The sequence below is a fragment of the Homo sapiens genome, chromosome 2 (genome assembly GCF_000001405.40).
Source record: "Homo sapiens chromosome 2, GRCh38.p14 Primary Assembly".
NCBI classification, from domain to species: Eukaryota; Metazoa; Chordata; class Mammalia; order Primates; family Hominidae; genus Homo; species Homo sapiens.
The window spans coordinates 66,527,714-66,544,999 of NC_000002.12; the positions used below are offsets into that span (position 1 = coordinate 66,527,714).

Genomic DNA, 17,286 nt, shown 5'->3' on the forward strand with positions numbered 1-17,286 from the left:
AGAGATGGCTAGAATAGTTTCCATGATATGATGACTTAATCCCACCACACTGCAGGAAAAAGCAACTTTCAAACCTGCTTGTTATGTTACCCACCATAAATCATGGCAAAACTTTAGGCCACATCTAACTTATCTTTGAATTGCAATATAAATGGGGTCATTAAAAGTTTTTTCCAAGAAAGTCAAATGTTTTTTGAGGGCCTACTATGTACAAGGAACCATATACATCCGGAACGTTCTATGATGTTTGAAAAGGGCATGGATCTAATCTCTGGTGCAGTTTATAGAAAGCTGGAGTGAACAGAACAGTCAGAAGACAGCTATAACAGTTTGGGTAAGAAGGCTGTGCTGTGGGAGTACAAAGAAATGAATGAGTACAAGATATGTTGGAGGTAAATCTGTACCTCATAAATAGAAACATTCTTTCAGTTACCACCACAGACACTAGAGATGTATATAGAGTCATAGATCCAGAGAGTGCCAAGAGAGAAAAGGAGGAGGCCAAAGATAGAATTTGGGGGATTATTATTTCTGAAGGCTGTCTGGAGGAAAAACCTAGAGAAGGAGAGACGAACAGACAGACAGGTCTCTGTCAAATACAGAGGTGGCATGAATTAATTTCTGGGTCCCTTCCAGCTCCAATGCTTTATTATTCTAATAAAAGCAAGGAAGGTACAGTGGTAAGAAAGTCGAAGAATCCATTCCCTACACTAAATCCATCATGGCTCCCAAACTGGCTCTCCTTGCTGTCAGCGTCGTCTCAGTTCATGACATCACCATAGACCCAGAAACTCCAACTCAGCTGAGACCCAGGAGTCATCCTGGAAGGTTCCTCTCCTTCCCCCTTCACAGGCAGTTGCTCATCCCTGAGTCCCATCAATTCTCTCTCCTAAACACTTCTCCATTCTTCTTCCCACCTAGCTCCATTGCCACTGCCACAGGTCAGTCCTCTATGTCTCCAGCTTTCTCCGTTCGTTCCCCAGCCTTCCTGCCTCTAACATTGGTCCCTTATAAACCATCCCTTATTTTGACACAGTTTTTCTAAAACAAAACTTGGCTAAGTCTCCTCCTACTTAAAATCCTTTGATATCTCCCTACTACCCGTAGGATATGAGACAAACATCCGTGGTGTGCCACTCAAGGACCCCTTGAGGTCTGACACTGGTGCCCTGGCGCCTCTCTCACCATTTTCATACAGGCTCCCCATGCATGCCATGCTGCAGCCAAGCTGAGGGCTTACAGCTCCCCATCAGTGCTGCACAGTCTTGTCCTCTGTGCACCTTACATGCTGTTCCCTCACCTGAGATACATCACTTCCATGACCCCTTCTCTACTTGACACTTTCCTCCACATCCTTCACATCTTAGTACAATTGTCACTGCTTGGGGAAGCCATTTGTTGTTTTCCCCAGGAGAGGGAAAGTGGCCCCTGCCCCCAGGTCCACAGCACCTTGATGAGACTCTGATAGGGAGTGCTTATCATAGTGACTGTTTATTTATGCTGTGCCTTTCTATCTAGAGGTCAGGATTTAATCTTTGCTCTGTACATCTTCAGAGCTGTACTATAGATGCTTGATATTATTTATTGACCAAAGCAATGAGTACAGTTGCAAAACAGAAATGACCAAACTCTGGGAGCTTTATAAAGTAGAAAGGCTGGAAAAGATCCTGATACAGGGGTTAGGATATCATCAGTGACTTTTGTCATTTATTTGTTTATCTACTTCTTCTTATTTCTTTTAGAAATAGGGTCTCAATCTGTTGCCCAACCTGGAGTGCAGCAGTGCAATCTTGGCTCACTGCAGCCTCCACCTCCCAGGTTAAAGCAATCCTCCTGCCTCGGCCTCCTGAGTAGCTGGGACTGTAGGCACATGCCACCACACTGGCTAACTTTTTAAGCTGTTTGAGGCATTTGGAAGAGAAGAAGTTGTATTATGAGGCATATGATGATACTGCAGTGGAGGCAGCAAAGGTAGATCCTTTTGCAATCACTTGAGGAAATATACTAAAGGATATACTTTAGACAGAAGCTTCAGGAAGTGGTAACAAGAAGGCATGGTTTTTCTTTTCTTTTTTAATATTTAGGAGAAAGGATATTTGAATATGTTTACATATACAATTGAATTCAGCTATCTTTCCTGGAATTGCTACTATGTTCCATGCAATTTGTTAATGCATAGCCTACTTACTTACTTAGGCAATAGAGACCTTTGAAGATCAAAGTAGAAAGGGACTGATTAATGAAGCAAGAATCAAGGGCAGGCAGACAGTGGAGGGGAGGGTGATGGGACTCAGAGTAAGAACATAGCAATAAGGAAGAAGTCAGAGAAATTTAGAAATGAAGAAGGCTGCTATTCTCCTCCTGGATCTTTTAGCAGGCTGGAGGCAAAGTTAACTGATGAATGTCCAAGAAGTGGGATTAGGAGCTGGAGGAGAATGGAAGTCATTTGGAAAAATTGCTGTTGGGAACACAGTAGGCAAAGCAAAAAAAAAAAAAGGAAAGAAGAAAAGATAAAAAGACTTTCAGAGTGTAGTTGAGAATACATATAGAAGTAGCACTAGATACCACACTGTGACCAAGGACTGGCTAGACTTTTAACAGGCACATTTCATAATCAATCTGTTTTTCACATGTTAAAATGAAGGTAATAGATGAATTCTTAGTGGTTTTCCACAGGAAAATAATTCCATTTTCTATTCCTTAAAAATTAGTACCATGGGGCCGGGTACGGTGGCTCACGCCTGTAATCCCAGCACTTTGGGAGGCCGAGGCGGGCGGATCATAAGGTCAGGAGATCGAGACCATCCTGGCTAACACGGTGAAACCCCGTCTCTCCTAAAAATACAAAAAAAATTAGCCGGGCGTGGTGGCAGGCACCTGTAGTCCCAGCTACTCGGGAGGCTGAGGCAGGAGAATGGCGTGAACCTGGGAGGCGGAGCTTGCAGTGAGCCGCGATTGCGCCACTGCACTCCAGCCTGGGTGACAGAGCAAGACTCCAACTCAAAAAAAAAAAATTAGTACCATGGGGAACATTCATTGAGCCCCAGTCTGAGTCACTGAAGTTTGTGCCATCATATGTAGGTTAGTGAACTCAAGATTGCATTAAAGGTTTTATCTCAGCTTTGGAGGAAGTTAACATGCAGTTATTGTACATTATCTTTCAGTACTGGTTGTATAAGAAGTTTGCAAAGTTGTTATTGATAACCTTTGCATGTGAGTTCAACAAAAACCATGCAAATGCAGCTGTCTGCTAAGATAAATTTTTTTTCTTGCCATGTGATTTGAGAGAAAAGGGGAGTTTTAAATTTAATTAAGACAAATCCACACAACATTGTAAAATATCTGAGCAACTGTACACGTTAACAGGTGAACAATCTCAGATATGTTCTGGTAAACCTTCCTCTGCTGGAAGCCTTATTTTTAGCAATGGGAAGGAGAGATGACTGGCTTGAACAGACTACTTTAGCTTCACAAGTTGAAGTTGAATTGATCTTGACACTGCTCCAGAAGAGTCTACTGTTGTCATTTTGGTTTGATGGTAAATGATATACAATTGGCTTCATGAAATAAAATGGTACCCTACACATAATGAACACTCATCACCATATACAAAGAACAGTTAGCTCAGTGTGATCATCAGGTCACAGATGACTCATGTGAAGTCTCTGTTTAAATAGGAAGGACTACTGACAAGCAAACATGCTCACAGAAAAATAGCTAAGTAGCGAAATAAATAAAGGGCTCAGTAGTCCTTCAAACATGTATTAGAAAACAAATTAAAAATTGGTTTCCTATTCAGTACTGTAAGGCAATGTCATGACAGTGTTGGAAAACCAACTCCCTGGTAGCTGGTGTATTGCGGACATTTCTGCCCTTGTCTTTGGGAGTGCCACGTACACGGTTACACAACGCATAAAGGCGAGGGTCATTTCTAGGACAGATAATTGAACATTAATACTCGCTGACATTGCCGAAGGAATGATATGTCAACTTGACAGGGCCTATGTGCTTACATCTGCTGATTGGCTGCGGACGAAGGCCCTGTGTGTCAGGATGAGACCCCAGGCCTGACTGCAGCAGGGCCAAGGATGCGGCGGCCATTAATCATGAGCTGCCATCTTGAGCCAAGACAGTGTCTGTAAAATCACTCGACATCCTGTGTGTGGCTGGCAAGTTCCATCTGTTGTATACTAGAGTTTGGTAGGTATGGCTCTCAGTTAAAAAAAAAAAAATCATCGCAGACCTTTTGGTTTGCATCATCTAACCAGAATTTTGGGTGGACCAGATGTCCTTTGCATGTATTTCTTTCTTTTTTTTCTGAAACTAGTTATAACCAGTTTTAGTGGGTAAAAGGGAGGTTCTGAGGTGGAGTGTCTTCTGTTCCTATGGGAATTAGTTTTGATGAGTTTCTGGTTTCCTGATTCACCATAGATAGTCAGTATAATGAAGAAATCCAACAAGAATTAAACTGAAGTTACTTGCTGTGATTTATTTTTTCGATTCTCTACAAAATATTAAACCCCGTAGGCAGATTTTTGAACAGGGAAAAAGAGGTCTATGCAATTATTTTCTTATCCCTGAAATCACATGAACAGCACTTTCCTCCCTCATTTATAATAAATCTTTAGTGAGTTAATTCTGTTGCTGCAGTATTTCCACAGCCAGCACTTTACTGAACATGTATCCTTTCAGAGAAAAAAAAAACACAAAAGCATGGAACAATCACAAGGCCCTCTGACACTCACCCCAATTGTGCCTTCTTAAAATAGGGGTAAACACTCTGGCAGTAGTTAGTGTGGGTTTCCACTGCATAAAATGTTATAAAATAGGGCCCCTGAGAGCATCCATTATCACATATTGGTTAACATCACAGAGTTTTTAAATCCCAGTTGCCTTGATGCCATGAAAAAAAAAACAGCTTTCATCTGTAAAATCTAGTTTCCCTTTGTTATTAAAATAAATGAAGCCATTAAACAAAATATATGCATGTAATAGTCGAGTTCCTCATTTGGCATCATCAAAATGATGGAATTTTGCATTTTTAAAAATTGGTGTTGCCATCTTAGCAGGTTTGATGTGAGCTACAGAATCCAAATGTGCTGGAGGCTTCTGAAACTGTATGACATGACATATATTTCTCTCTTTAGTCTGCATATATATATATTTATCTGGCTCTCCTTTAACAAAAAGTAGAATTCTGTTTAAGAGAACTAAAAAAGAAGACAGTTTTTTTTATCCAAAATCCTGCCATCAAATCAATTAATTATAACCATTGATGAGCTCGTATTGTGACTGTGCTAGAATTGAAATAATTTCCGAATACTTTATTTCCAAAGGTTTGTTTTTAATTACAGCAGCATTTGGTTGGCATGCAAGGGCGAGTTCTCACTCTTGATCTATCCTAGCTGGAGCTCAGGCCAAAAGATCCTCTGCTCCCTTTTCTCGAGAGCACACTTTTCTGCCAAATGTGGTGCTCGTCCCCTGCCAAGAAAGGTGGGCGAATTGCCACTTCTGACTTCCAACCACCAAAAGACAAAGGCTCTCAACATTCCTAAGTCCACTGAGCCAGAATGGGCCTCACACCTTGAAGGATCCCGATTATTATTGATTATTTTTCCCCCATAGACTTTATAATATAGAATATTTTCTCAGTGCCTTAGTCAGTCCCCGAGGGTGACTTAGGCACTTACAGCAATGTGTGACCCCTTGAAGGCCACTGGAGGGTCATTGAAGTGTCCTTACTCATCTGTCTGAGGCCTGAGCACATCTACACTGTCAGTGTCACCTCTATATCTTGCTTTTATAGTGTCTTTTTTTAACACTCTTTAAGTTAGAATCTAGTAATTATTTATTTACTTCTGTGAAGCTCAAATAAACTCAAGAGAAGTTGTAGCTAAGCATAAAACATCTAATAGGGAAAACATAGCCTCTTTTCCTTTTAATGGGACCCATTGCGTAATTTGTGGAGAATGTGTAAATTCTCCTCATAAATTGTGCAGGGCTTCTTAAAAAAAAATTCAAGATCGTGACAGCAGCACATTAAGTCAAGCATGGGGCCCGTCTATGTGGGGGTCCCTGTGTCACTTACAGGCAGCACACCCATGAAGCTGCCCTGCCTTCAGAGATCTTGGAAGCAAGTTTGTCCAAATAAAGAGAATTACAAGAAAACATTAAAATCTAATTTAACAGTAAAAATAAATTTAGAAGAATTATCTAGTCATATCTTCTTCCCTGCAAATTGAGAACTGTATGCATTTTATGTATTTTTACATAGATTAGCCCAATCTTAAGAGTCATCTCAGATTCAGCTACTGTTTACTAGTCTCTAAATATATGCCAGACCCTATGCTAAGCAATTTGATGCGTGTTGTCTCATTTGACCACCACCAGCGTGATTATCCTCATTTTACCAATGAGGAAGCAAGGCTTGGAGATCTGAAATGTTGATCAAAGTCATAGTTACTGTGGGTTCTAAGGACTTAACTTTAGTTATCTAACTAAATTGATACACTGAACTACACCTCTTAAAACCAATTTTTGGGCCGGGCGCAGTGGCTCACACCTGTAATCCCAGCACTTTGGGAGGCCAAGGCGGGCGGATCACGAGGTCAGGGGTTTGAGACCAGCCTGTCCAACATGGTGAAACCCCGTCTCTACTCAAAATATAAAAATTAGCTCGTCATGGTGGAGCATGCTTGTATTCCCAGCTACTTGAGAGGCTGAGGCAGGAGGATTGCTTGAACCTGGGAGGCAGAGGTTGCAGTGAGCCAAGATTGTGCCACTGCGCTTCAGCCTGGGCAACAGAGTGAGACTCTGTCTTAAAAAAAAAAAAATTCTTTTAAAATGTTTTCCTTTAGATTTGCCATTTGTAAATGTGTAACCACATCACTGAAGCATGAATGGACTTCATGACCACGTTCCTGGGCTAAACGGGCTTATGACTCTCCACATAGGCCTAAGTTTTCTTAAGAACTCATTTAGGAAGGGAAAACTAGGCCCTTCTTTGTGTAATTAGCAACCTTAAGTCACAAGTGGAATGGCAAAGAAAAACACATTACATAAAGCAAAACTATATCTAGTTGTTTCAAAGAGGAACAAACGAATCAATCCTCACTGGATAAGGACATTTCTTTCCCAAAGCATGTTTTAGAAGGGGCAAATGTCACTATTTAAGACTTTTTGGCATTACCAGTAAGATTATGTATATAAGTTCATTAGGAATGATGGCAGCTAATTTAAAAGGTGATGGTTTTGTTTGATTTTAGTTTAAGTTTTAGTTTAGTTCTTTGTTTCATCCTGGGCAGTACACATTTACACGTTAAAACAGAGGCTGGGTCAACTAACTCACAGTAGGTTTCTGACAGATGAAGCTACAGCTTTTTATTTTATCATTAACAAGATAAACTTTGAGCTTCAGTAGAGTGTAAAGACAACTAGATAGAGAAGTAGGAGGCCTTAGGGCCAGCAACTTCCCAGCCACGTAACCCTGTATATCTTGCCATGTGTCCACTCTAAATTTTGTTTTCTCTTGTATAGAATGAGGGCAACATTACCTATTCTAACTTCACCAGTAATTGTGAGGTTCAAACTTGGCAAAATATAATAAAACCTCTTTGAAAATGTAAAGCTATATACAAATATAAGGGATCACCCTTCTCAAAGTCTTAAAAAAAAGCCCAAACTATTCTTCAAGTTAACTTTGATGAAATATATTTTTGCCAACTTTATCTCACAGTCTTGTTGGTGACAGGTCGAGCCTTCTCCCACTCATCTAAGATATTCCATGAACATTTGTGATAACCCTGCAGAAATAAGTCCACATCTGTGCCGGCATCCGCACCTCCCTGCCCCCAGCCCAGTTAGATTTAATGAGGAAAGTGTACTTTGGGAAACAAATACGGTGGATCTGCCCAAATTTTGACTAAGACTCTTCCCTCATCTATAATCCATTCTGGAGACAGACAGTGAATTCACATCAATAAATGCTTTCGGGAGTTGGAAAGGGTTTGCTTAAGAAGGTTCATAAAGATAAAGGTAATCTGATCACTAAAACCATTTAAAGTTTTTAGATTTTTTTTTTCTTCTTAAGGGGGAATTCCCTTTAGTTTGATTGCAAGATAAGAGTTTTGTTGTTAACTAAGATAAAATATAGTGCTGAATAATCTCTGAAATTAAAAACTGAAGTGCATGGTGCACAGAATAGAGAAAATTAAATAGCTTAGACAACAATGGATAAAGAGAAAAGAGTTTTCATGAAAATTAGCTTAGTAAAGGTAAATTGCATTTGAATCTTAACTTCAGATCTGGGTGCTCTGCTATTTGGCATATGTTGAATTGATAATGCCTGTGTGTTAAAGAATTCTGATTGTTTCTTTTGCCTCTCTCACAGCTTATAAAAATGCAAGCAGACCCATCTAATGAATATTAATAGGAGTGATGTCTAGATAACACATAAACCCCGGGATCTGTGGACTTTGGATGGAGTAGTCAGAGAGGATTTCTGTGGCTTTATTTAATACCAAATTTACATACTTTTAAAGAATAAACATCATCTTAATATTTTAATATCAATATTCCAGAGTGGAGATTTTAGTCAAATAAAAAGCTTAATTTTGTCTTCCCAAACATTATGTTCACCAGGGTCTGCATTTTAAGAGACAGGAAACTGTTAGCTAAAAAAGAAATTAACTTAATCCCCCTTCATTAAGTTCCAGTCTTTTTCTGTTACTTAGAGACAAGTAATAATTATACCCGTAGCAATGCAAAGCATGTTTTACACTTTTGTTATACAAAAGAACTGCGGTTGTTAAGGTGACAGCAAAAGAAAATGAGAACATTGATAAATACTGATTTTTTTTTCTTAAATCTTCTCTGACTCTTGAAAATAAATTTCACTCAGGTGTCTGAGAGGCCTTTTAATTCATTAACTGCAAAAATCTACACATATGATTTTAGAAAATGTCAATCAACTAGCTAAACAATATTTTCCCAGCTAAGGTTATAAACAGCAGCTAAGTGGGTGGAAAATGTCTAAAACGACTATACATACCAGTTCTTTTATAATGCATAAAAAGTGGGCATTTTGTTTTCAAGCTGGTATCTTTGGGATGGAACTTTTAGCAAGCACACAGTACATCTCAGCAGTGTATATTATTTAAAGTGCATTCTCTCTCTCTCTCTCTGGCATTGTGAAGACTTTTTAAATTTTAGCTTTACAAAGGGGGGAAATCATTAAAATGTGGTTTGTACCATTACATTCCATTATTTGTCATCTTTATGGCTATTCTATAGTTTTCATTGACCTTTAATGGTAAGCTTGGTCAGGAGAGGTGAGCAGGAATGTTCACATACTTGGCTGAGGGTGCTGCTTGAGAGTGTCTGTTAGCTGGGCTTCAATCCACGTCCCTGTAGATTTTAATGTCCCTACAGACTGCTGGCAGCCTGCTTCCAGCTGTGGCAGGCATGATGCAGTGAATTGCTTTTGAATGTTCTTTACTCAAATAGGCAGTAATTACAAGCTTAAAGAGGTTTAGTGGTCCAGTAAACTACATAATCACCCCTGAATTAGCCTGGGCTCATCAGTTGCAGTCCAGCAAGCTCCAGTCTGCTGTTTGTATGCCGTCTTGATCACATAGCAACCTGATCAGCAGGTGTGGAGCAGCCAGAGTCCCCCATAAACACAACTGTCTACTGGGGACAATGATCTCTAATGAGATGAGGCTACATCATCACTGTAATTTAAGTGGGAAAATTAGCACTAGAGAATGGGTACCAGTTCCAGGGGTCTTTAGTCATATTGGGAGCAGCACGAATTCTCCATCTCATTCTCCCTGTCTCTATCTTTTTCTCTCTCAAAAATATCTCCTCACCAAATGTACCATTTTGCTTCTAACTTACGGATACTTTATTCTTTAGACAAGGATTTTTCCTGAATAATTAATGCTAGACAGGGCATCTGTAAAGGCAATAATGATTGCTGTCAACAGACTCATTCCAAAATGGCGTTGTAGTATTTCATCTTCCTTGTCTTTCTACTTAATGGTTTCAAAATCCTTTCTCTTTGATTTTTAAAGTGGAAAAGTGTTCTTCAGGCTGGTGTTAGGTCTCCTTTTAGCTGACGTGCTCTCTGAAATTGTAGAGATGGGCTATACATAGTTTGAAAAAGATCCTTACTTTATTGGAGTTTATTGTATAAATCAGTCATGAACTTTCTTTTCAGAAAGGTGGTCCAGTATAGTGTGCCATGTTTTTGTTGTGCATGTTCAAGTGAAATTCTTGGGGAAAAGCCTCCATGTTGAAACAGTCTTCTTTATCCTTTCTTCTGTCCTGTGCTAGGCATAAAGATACAGAACTTGAATTTTGTTGCATTGAAGTTAGAGAGTAGGAAGGGAATTTTGTCACAAATAAACCCAAGAACAACATAGAGTGAATTTGGGAGAAACTTTGGGGGAAATTATAAATTGACGCTAAGAAAGAAAAGCAGAATAACACAGTAATTAAAAGCATAGGCTGTGCAATTGACTACTTAGAGTCAAATCCCAGCTCTATTTTACTTGCCAGTAAATTAGATTCTGAGCCTCAGTGTCCTCTGTAAAATAATGGTAAGAGTACTTATCTTAGAGACTTGTTTTAAGGATTAAATAAGTAAATACTTAAAGCTCTGAGAACGCTGCCCAACATACAGTAAACATTATATAAATGTCAGGTAAATAAAGTGAGCAAAATCTGGACTAGGCACTCTACTATTCTGGGATTTGTTGAACTAAGTGAGAAGGATGAATAATTGTTGGAATGGAGCTGCTAGTTTTGTGTTTATCTGAAGTCATCTACTCCTACTCACAAATGCAGGTTGAGGGATTTTAGTCATCTCTAACTTTAATAACATTCATTCACAGAAATATTTATTGGGCACAGAACTGGTAGCTGCATCATCACTGGGAATAGCATTCATATGTTTTTATTAGTAGTCTACTAAAATGTAATGATTTTGAATGTCATTTAACTCATATTTGATTAAGAATCATGTAATAAACAAAAGTAATTGGCGAAACACACACCCCAATTTGTTTCAAATCCCAATTTGTTTCAAAGCTGACAATTGAAGGCATATTGTAGTGTGGTTAGAGGAAATAGTAGGCATTTGATTCTATGATCCTTAAAAGAGTTTTTTTTTTTTTTTTGTTTGTTTGTTTTTTAAGGAGTCTCACTCTGTCAACCAGGCTGGAGTGCAGTGGCGCGATCTCGGCTCACTGCAACCTCCGCCTCCCGGGTTCAAGCGATTATTCTGCCTCAGCCTCCTAAGTAGCTGGGACCACAGGCGTGTGCCACCACGGCTGGCTAATTTTTTGTATTTTTAGTAGAGACAGGGTTTCACTGTGTTAGCCGGGATGATCTCGATCTCCTGACCTTATGATCCACCTGCCTTGGCCTCCTAAAGTGCTGGTATTACAGGTGTGGGCCACCGTGCCTGGCCAAAAGTGCTCTTGTATATAAGCTACTATCATTCCTGTATAAGCAATGCTACAAGCATTAATAAAGTGATGGGCATGTGAGTTTCCACTGAGTTTTCTGACTTACAGCAAGATTGACTCTTCCTTCCATTAGCAGAACTGAGTTGTAGAAATAAAAGGTACACACACATACGTTAAGATAATAGTTTTTTTCATATAACAAGTAATAATCATCATATATATTCATGATTAACTCACCAGGAGTCAGTGGGATTTCTTCACCTATTATATAAAAGACAAAATCGTTTGGAAGTGAATTTTCCCGACTTGTATGTTACCACCAAGTTTCAAATTCCAGCTCTACTACTTACCAGCTGTGTGAACTTGAGAACTTCCTTTGTCCTTTCTGTGCTCAAGTTTCGTCATCTATCAAATGGGTCTAGCGGCTGTTAACTACCTCAGAAGGCTTTTGTGAGGAGTCATATAAGTGAAGCATTTGGAACAGCGCCTGGCACATTCTCACTTCCTGATATATGTTACAATGACTACTTCTTCCACTCTTATTAATACTGCTAAGCTACTATTAATAAAGTTCCTTTGGCTGGATGCTGGAAGGAGAACATGGGTCAAGGTTCTGATGAACTAACTTTCCCTGACAGCCCCCTCCCCTCCCCTTCTGCCTGCCTCCCAGGCAGAAGCAGTGGATATTCAGGTAGGAGTGGAGGAGCAGGGAAATGGCAACTCTTTCCTCTCTGTTCACCATGATTAATAACATGGTTCATACTCCCTTATAATATATTTTTTGTTAAAAAAGGGAATGGAGAAATGAGAAACAAATGGCAGTGGGAGTGTAGCCAAGTGGAGAAACTCAGGGCCGGACAGACCTGGCACCAGCACTAAGTAGCTGTGTGCTGTTGGTGTGTTTTTGACCTGGCCAACCCTCAGCTTCTTCATCTGTGAAAAGGAGCTAAGCACAGCCCTTACTCAGGGGGTTCACCAAGAGTACATGAAATAATGCCTGTAATGCATTTGTTGTACTGACAAATAATGAGTTTGAATGAGCTATTGTTTAAAATGATTCAAAAATGACACTTCAAAGTAAAGCATGAGTTTTCTCCCTTATCTACTCCCAAGGGCCTCCTGTCCTGTTTTTGTTTTGTTTTTTGTTTTTTGAGATGTCTGTTGCACAGGCTGGAGTGCAGTGGTGTGATCTTGGGTCATTGCAACCTCCACCTCCTGGGTTCAAGTGGATTCTCCTGCCTCAGCCTGCCGAGTAGATGGGATTACAGGCGCCTGACATCACGCCCAGCTAATTTTTGTACTTTTAGTAGAGATGGGATTTCCTCATGTCGGGCAAGTCCTGACCTCAAGTGATCCACCCACTTTGGCCTTCCAAAGTGCTGGGATTATAGGTGTGAGCCACTGCTCCCAGCCCTGGTTTTCTTAATGGCCATTTTTGTATTTCCTCTTATAAGCATGGTCTTCTACTGAGAGAATCAATATTCAGAGGATTCATTAATAGCTGTTCAACATAATTTTAGCATCCTTCACGAATGTTAATCCATTTAGGAAGAGGATATAAGTAATCACTAATTTGGAATCTAAACTGTATGTCTTAAACGTATATACTTTAAAATATTTCTGTAACATATGTGTAGCTAATGAAGAATATATCTAAAACATTGTTATTTTATAAATTTGTAAGCAACTTTAAAAAAAATTCCAAATACAAAGGACTATGCAGTTTCTTAATATAAGTATCTGACTTCTTTATTTAGTGTTTTCATTTTCTATTTAATTGATATTTAGGAGAAATTAAAAGATCAGATAAGTGAGGCAGGGAGGGCATTTTATTTTATTTTATTTTATTATTTTTTATTTTTTATTTTTTTTTGAGACAGTCTCACTCAGTCACCCAGGCTGGAGTGCAGTGGCGCAATCTCGGCTCATTGCAAGCTCTGCCTCCCGGGTTCACTCCATTCTTCTGCCTCAGCCACCCGAGTAGCTGGGACTACAGGTGCCCACCACCATGCCCAGCTAATTTTTTGTATTTTTAGTAGAGACGAGGTTTCACCATGTTAGCCAGGATGGTCTCGATCTCCTGACCTTGTGATCCTCCCGTCTCGGCCTCCCAAAGTACTGGGATTACAGGTGTGAGCCACCGCACAGGCAGGGCATTTTAGTATTGGTCTCTTATAATTGGCTATAAAACAATGTCTTTACTACTGTGTATTATAAATATAGTCTTAGTACAAAAAACAAAGATTGTTATGAAACATTATCCAGCATTCTACTTTTCCTTCCACACCTATGTCATTTTCATGTGCTAAGGTTACATTTATAGATTCCTACCTGACACCTCCACTGGCAACTTCTTTTAACTGCTGTTGGATATACAGAAATCAGAGAGATTGTCTGCAGAATGACTCTACTGGGCCCCAGAAAAAACAAACGCTAAACAAAAAATGGAGCCCATTTAGTCTGAGCAACTAGGCAATATAGGAGTGTTGGTGGAGAATTAAGAAAGCGGATGGAAATCCTATGACTCTACTGATGATGCTCCAAACATTTCTGGCTTCTTAGCCAGTCCCAACACCACCCTTCCTTCTTTTGATTCCAGCATGTGCGAGGATGCAGGACTCAACTACTATGCATTCAGGCTATGTTCTGCGACTGCACGGTGCACTGCTTTTGTAATGCAAATAGGAGGCACAAAGTGTCTCTTTGATAATGTGCAGTCAGAAGACAAAAAAGCATTCACTGAAACAGTAAAACTAATTCATAAAGCTGAAAGACAATAGGGAAGCATTATGGATTTTTTTAAAGGAAAAAAGTATCCTAGATCAATGTAATTGTCACAGTGTAAGCTATTCACAGTCAATGCAGGAGGGGAAAATGGCTGCAAGTTTATTTAAAGTGGGAGAAGTTTTATAGGCAAAAAACCATTATGTTAAACAAATATAAATATATTTGGTTAACAAGTTTCTGCTTAGTCTCTTAGAGGTCAAATATATAGCTGGTTATTTTCATTTAGATCCACAGTATTCCCTTAGTGACAAAAACTCAGTAGAAGTTTTAAAAGAGCACAGAGATCTAATAGTTAAAAACCATATGGTAGATTTTTTTTTTTTCTTTAAAGGGAGTATCTCCCCATCACATACCAGAGTTTAGCTCAAGGTCAACTTATATTAATGCATTAAACTTAGCTGTGGAGGAGGCAAAGGGCTGGAGGAAAAAGGATAAAAGAAGTTCTGAAATTGTTCTTCCAACATATTCAGCCAAGCAACAGAACATTGCCTGGATAAGGCTTATATTGGACAGTTGCCATAATTCCTCCTGTTAGATCAGCTCCTCTGGTACCTATTCCCATACCTTTTAAAGTATAGCATGTAACATTTTGCTTGAAAATTGCTTCTACCTCTATTGCTTTGTTATAGCCGTTTTGCAGTTTCGGTATAGAGGCAGTTCTGTGTCACAAGAAATTACTAATCTGAGGCTTGAGAAGGGGCAGTGTAGCCTTCCATTATCTCACCAGCAAGCTCTGTACAGGATTATTTTCAAATTTTCTGCTGCCATTACAATGTGCTATTAGAGTGGCCAAGGTGGTGAGGGAGGGGATGTTATTGAAACTTGGTTACCAGGGTAGATAAGATAAACTTCATCACTTTCTTGGCATCCACATTTGTAGCCAAGGGTGGAAATTTTGATGAAAGAAGTACATTTGGTCAAAGATATTAAGGTGTAAAGCTGGATATTTTCTAACTGCATTCTACAGAGTCTGTCTCTTCCCCATTGATGCTCATCTGAAATAGTCTGCTTGATTGTTTCAATAAACACACTTTCTTTCAATGTATTGTAAACTTGTAAATACCAGATAACCAACTTAAAATCCCCCTCCCATCCCAGTCTCAAGAAATAACACTGGTTATGTGCAGACATAACTTTCTTGAGTAAGTCACCATTTTCTGTCACTTTCTATTTGCGGCTGGTAAAATGACAGCTCAGGCTTAACTTTTACATAAGCTATTTTTAGATTTTTCTCAGACATCCTTTAACTATTTCTTTTATACAGGATCCTACCCTAAGGATCATTTTATTCTTTGACGGGGTCATTAAGCAATCACTCTATACTGGTTCATTATTGGAAGTCACTGCAATATCCAGAAATACATGAAGAGTGGCAAGTGGTTTATATTTCAGCAAGAGATTTATGCTAGAAAGGAGAAGTCAAGGTGTTGACGATTGAAATAAGGATGATCATTTCATGAGTTATTCCCTTTCGCTGGGGTTCCACTGCCCACAAGCCACTTAGTTTCCCTTTGAGGCCAGCATCTCTTCTCTCTGCAGCCAAACCAGCCTAATACACATGTGCAGGTTTAATGCTGGAAGGGAGGGGCCAGCTTTACCCATACATAATCACTGTTTTATGGCTTTCACTCATTCCTGAGGTGTTAATGCAGATCAAATGGGAAACACTCGAGAAAGAACCCTTGCAGCTACTGCATTGCCTGGCTCTCCCCTCTCAATCGTTAATTCTTATTGTAAGATCTAAAGGTAATTTTGTTTGCTCTCTTAATGTGTTGCAGTTCTCCCAGTGGCCCTTGCATATCCTTTCTCAAATTCCCATCTTGATCAATTGTTTGCAAATAATTAAGCTTTTAAAAGATAATAGCATGAGGCTAATGTACACAACAAAGGCGAGGTCTCCCTCACTGTCTATGGGACTGTGGTCAAATTTGCTTTGATATCCCGAAGTGATTAGGTTGATTGGTATATCTGGGAAGTGCCATCCATCTTGCCTTCACAAGAGCCTACTGATCTTTCTTAAACTGTGTCCTTGAGATGCAATAACAGCAAAGGTGTTTGGGAGGATGGCAAGGAGTGACATAGGCCTTTAGTTGCAAAGGTTTGGAATGAATTTCCCATTTTCTCCCTAAAAACAGCACTTCTCGGAGATTACTCTTTATCTCTTTTGCAAAGTGACGTCTGCCTTTGCCCATTGCATGGCCTCACTAGACCTGTGGGCAGAAGGCAACAGGGCTTTCAATGTTTTTTTTTCAGCAGCCATGCCTGTGGCATGCTGGGTTTTTGTCAAGTCATTTTTTTTTAAGTCTATAAAAGAATAACTCATACTGTCCACAAAAAGCTTTATTTAGTAAAGATGCATAGGATTTAAGATATTGAAACATATTAGGTTTCAGTTTAAAAGCCTACTTCTTTGTGAATTTTTGGCTGGTTAAGGATTAACTACATGAAGTCACGGCTTTCATGTGATTCTAGCAATTACAGACTTTTTTCAGGGAATTGAAAGTTTGTGGGACACTAAGGCCAAGAACTATGAGAAAAAGAAATACATTCAGTTGACCTACCATAGACAAGGGTTTAGGAATGTTGTTGATACCTTTTTCTCCTCTTAACAATGGCCAGATTATTGTGACATTTAATTTGTCCAGGCTCATTCATTTGTATTAAAAAAATATATATATATCCCGAACAACTGAAAATTTCTTAATGGAGACAGAGTGCTGAGCCTCCATAGCTTGAGGCTGCCTAGCAATTATGCTGCATGAAATTAGATACAGTTTGTTCCAATTACTTAAAATCAGATCACATGAAAAGTGACAGAGGAAAAAAAGGGTAGAACTTTCTAATTTTGTGATATTTAAATTATGAAATCAGAAACTATATGATGTGAAGAAACAACTGAAATTTGCACTGAAATTTTGAGAGCCATATTACTACCCTTTGAAGCTCCAGGTAGTGGTAATGATTCAAAGAGAATTTTTGTGACACCACTTGCATAAATAAAATGTGAATTCCATTTGCTTTGTAAGAA

The 17,286-nt window shown here is 39.2% G+C and overlaps 1 protein-coding gene across 1 annotated transcript in view, besides 5 other annotated features; it reads left to right on the forward strand.

Moving 5' to 3' along the window:
* The window catches only part of MEIS1 (Meis homeobox 1), a 138,745-nt gene that overhangs the window by 92,589 nt on the left and 28,870 nt on the right, over positions 1–17,286 (forward strand). The window lies entirely within an intron of this gene.
* Positions 7,670–10,243: an enhancer, named in NCBI's record as "HCNR617 enhancer in MEIS1". NCBI's record gives its function as "enhancer in: forebrain[4/5]" and the evidence as "EXISTENCE:transgenic organism evidence [ECO:0001131][PMID:17130149]".
* Positions 9,062–10,005: an enhancer, noted in NCBI's record as "HCNR617". NCBI's record gives its function as "enhancer in forebrain, hindbrain, retina, spinal cord, midbrain" and the evidence as "EXISTENCE:transgenic organism evidence [ECO:0001131][PMID:24642863]".
* Positions 9,170–9,886: an enhancer, noted in NCBI's record as "E8 enhancer". NCBI's record gives its function as "enhancer in anterior and posterior lateral mesoderm" and the evidence as "EXISTENCE:transgenic organism evidence [ECO:0001131][PMID:24022755]".
* Positions 9,173–9,765: an enhancer, noted in NCBI's record as "OCT4-NANOG hESC enhancer chr2:66764018-66764610 (GRCh37/hg19 assembly coordinates)". NCBI's record gives its function as "activates a minimal SCP1, AML or CMV promoter by ChIP-STARR-seq in primed H9 embryonic stem cells {active_cell/tissue: H9 hESC(primed)}" and the evidence as "EXISTENCE:reporter gene assay evidence [ECO:0000049][PMID:30033119]".
* Positions 9,444–9,483: a protein binding site, noted in NCBI's record as "CREB site; may be affected by polymorphism at rs12469063". NCBI's record gives the evidence for it as "EXISTENCE:protein binding evidence [ECO:0000024][PMID:24642863]".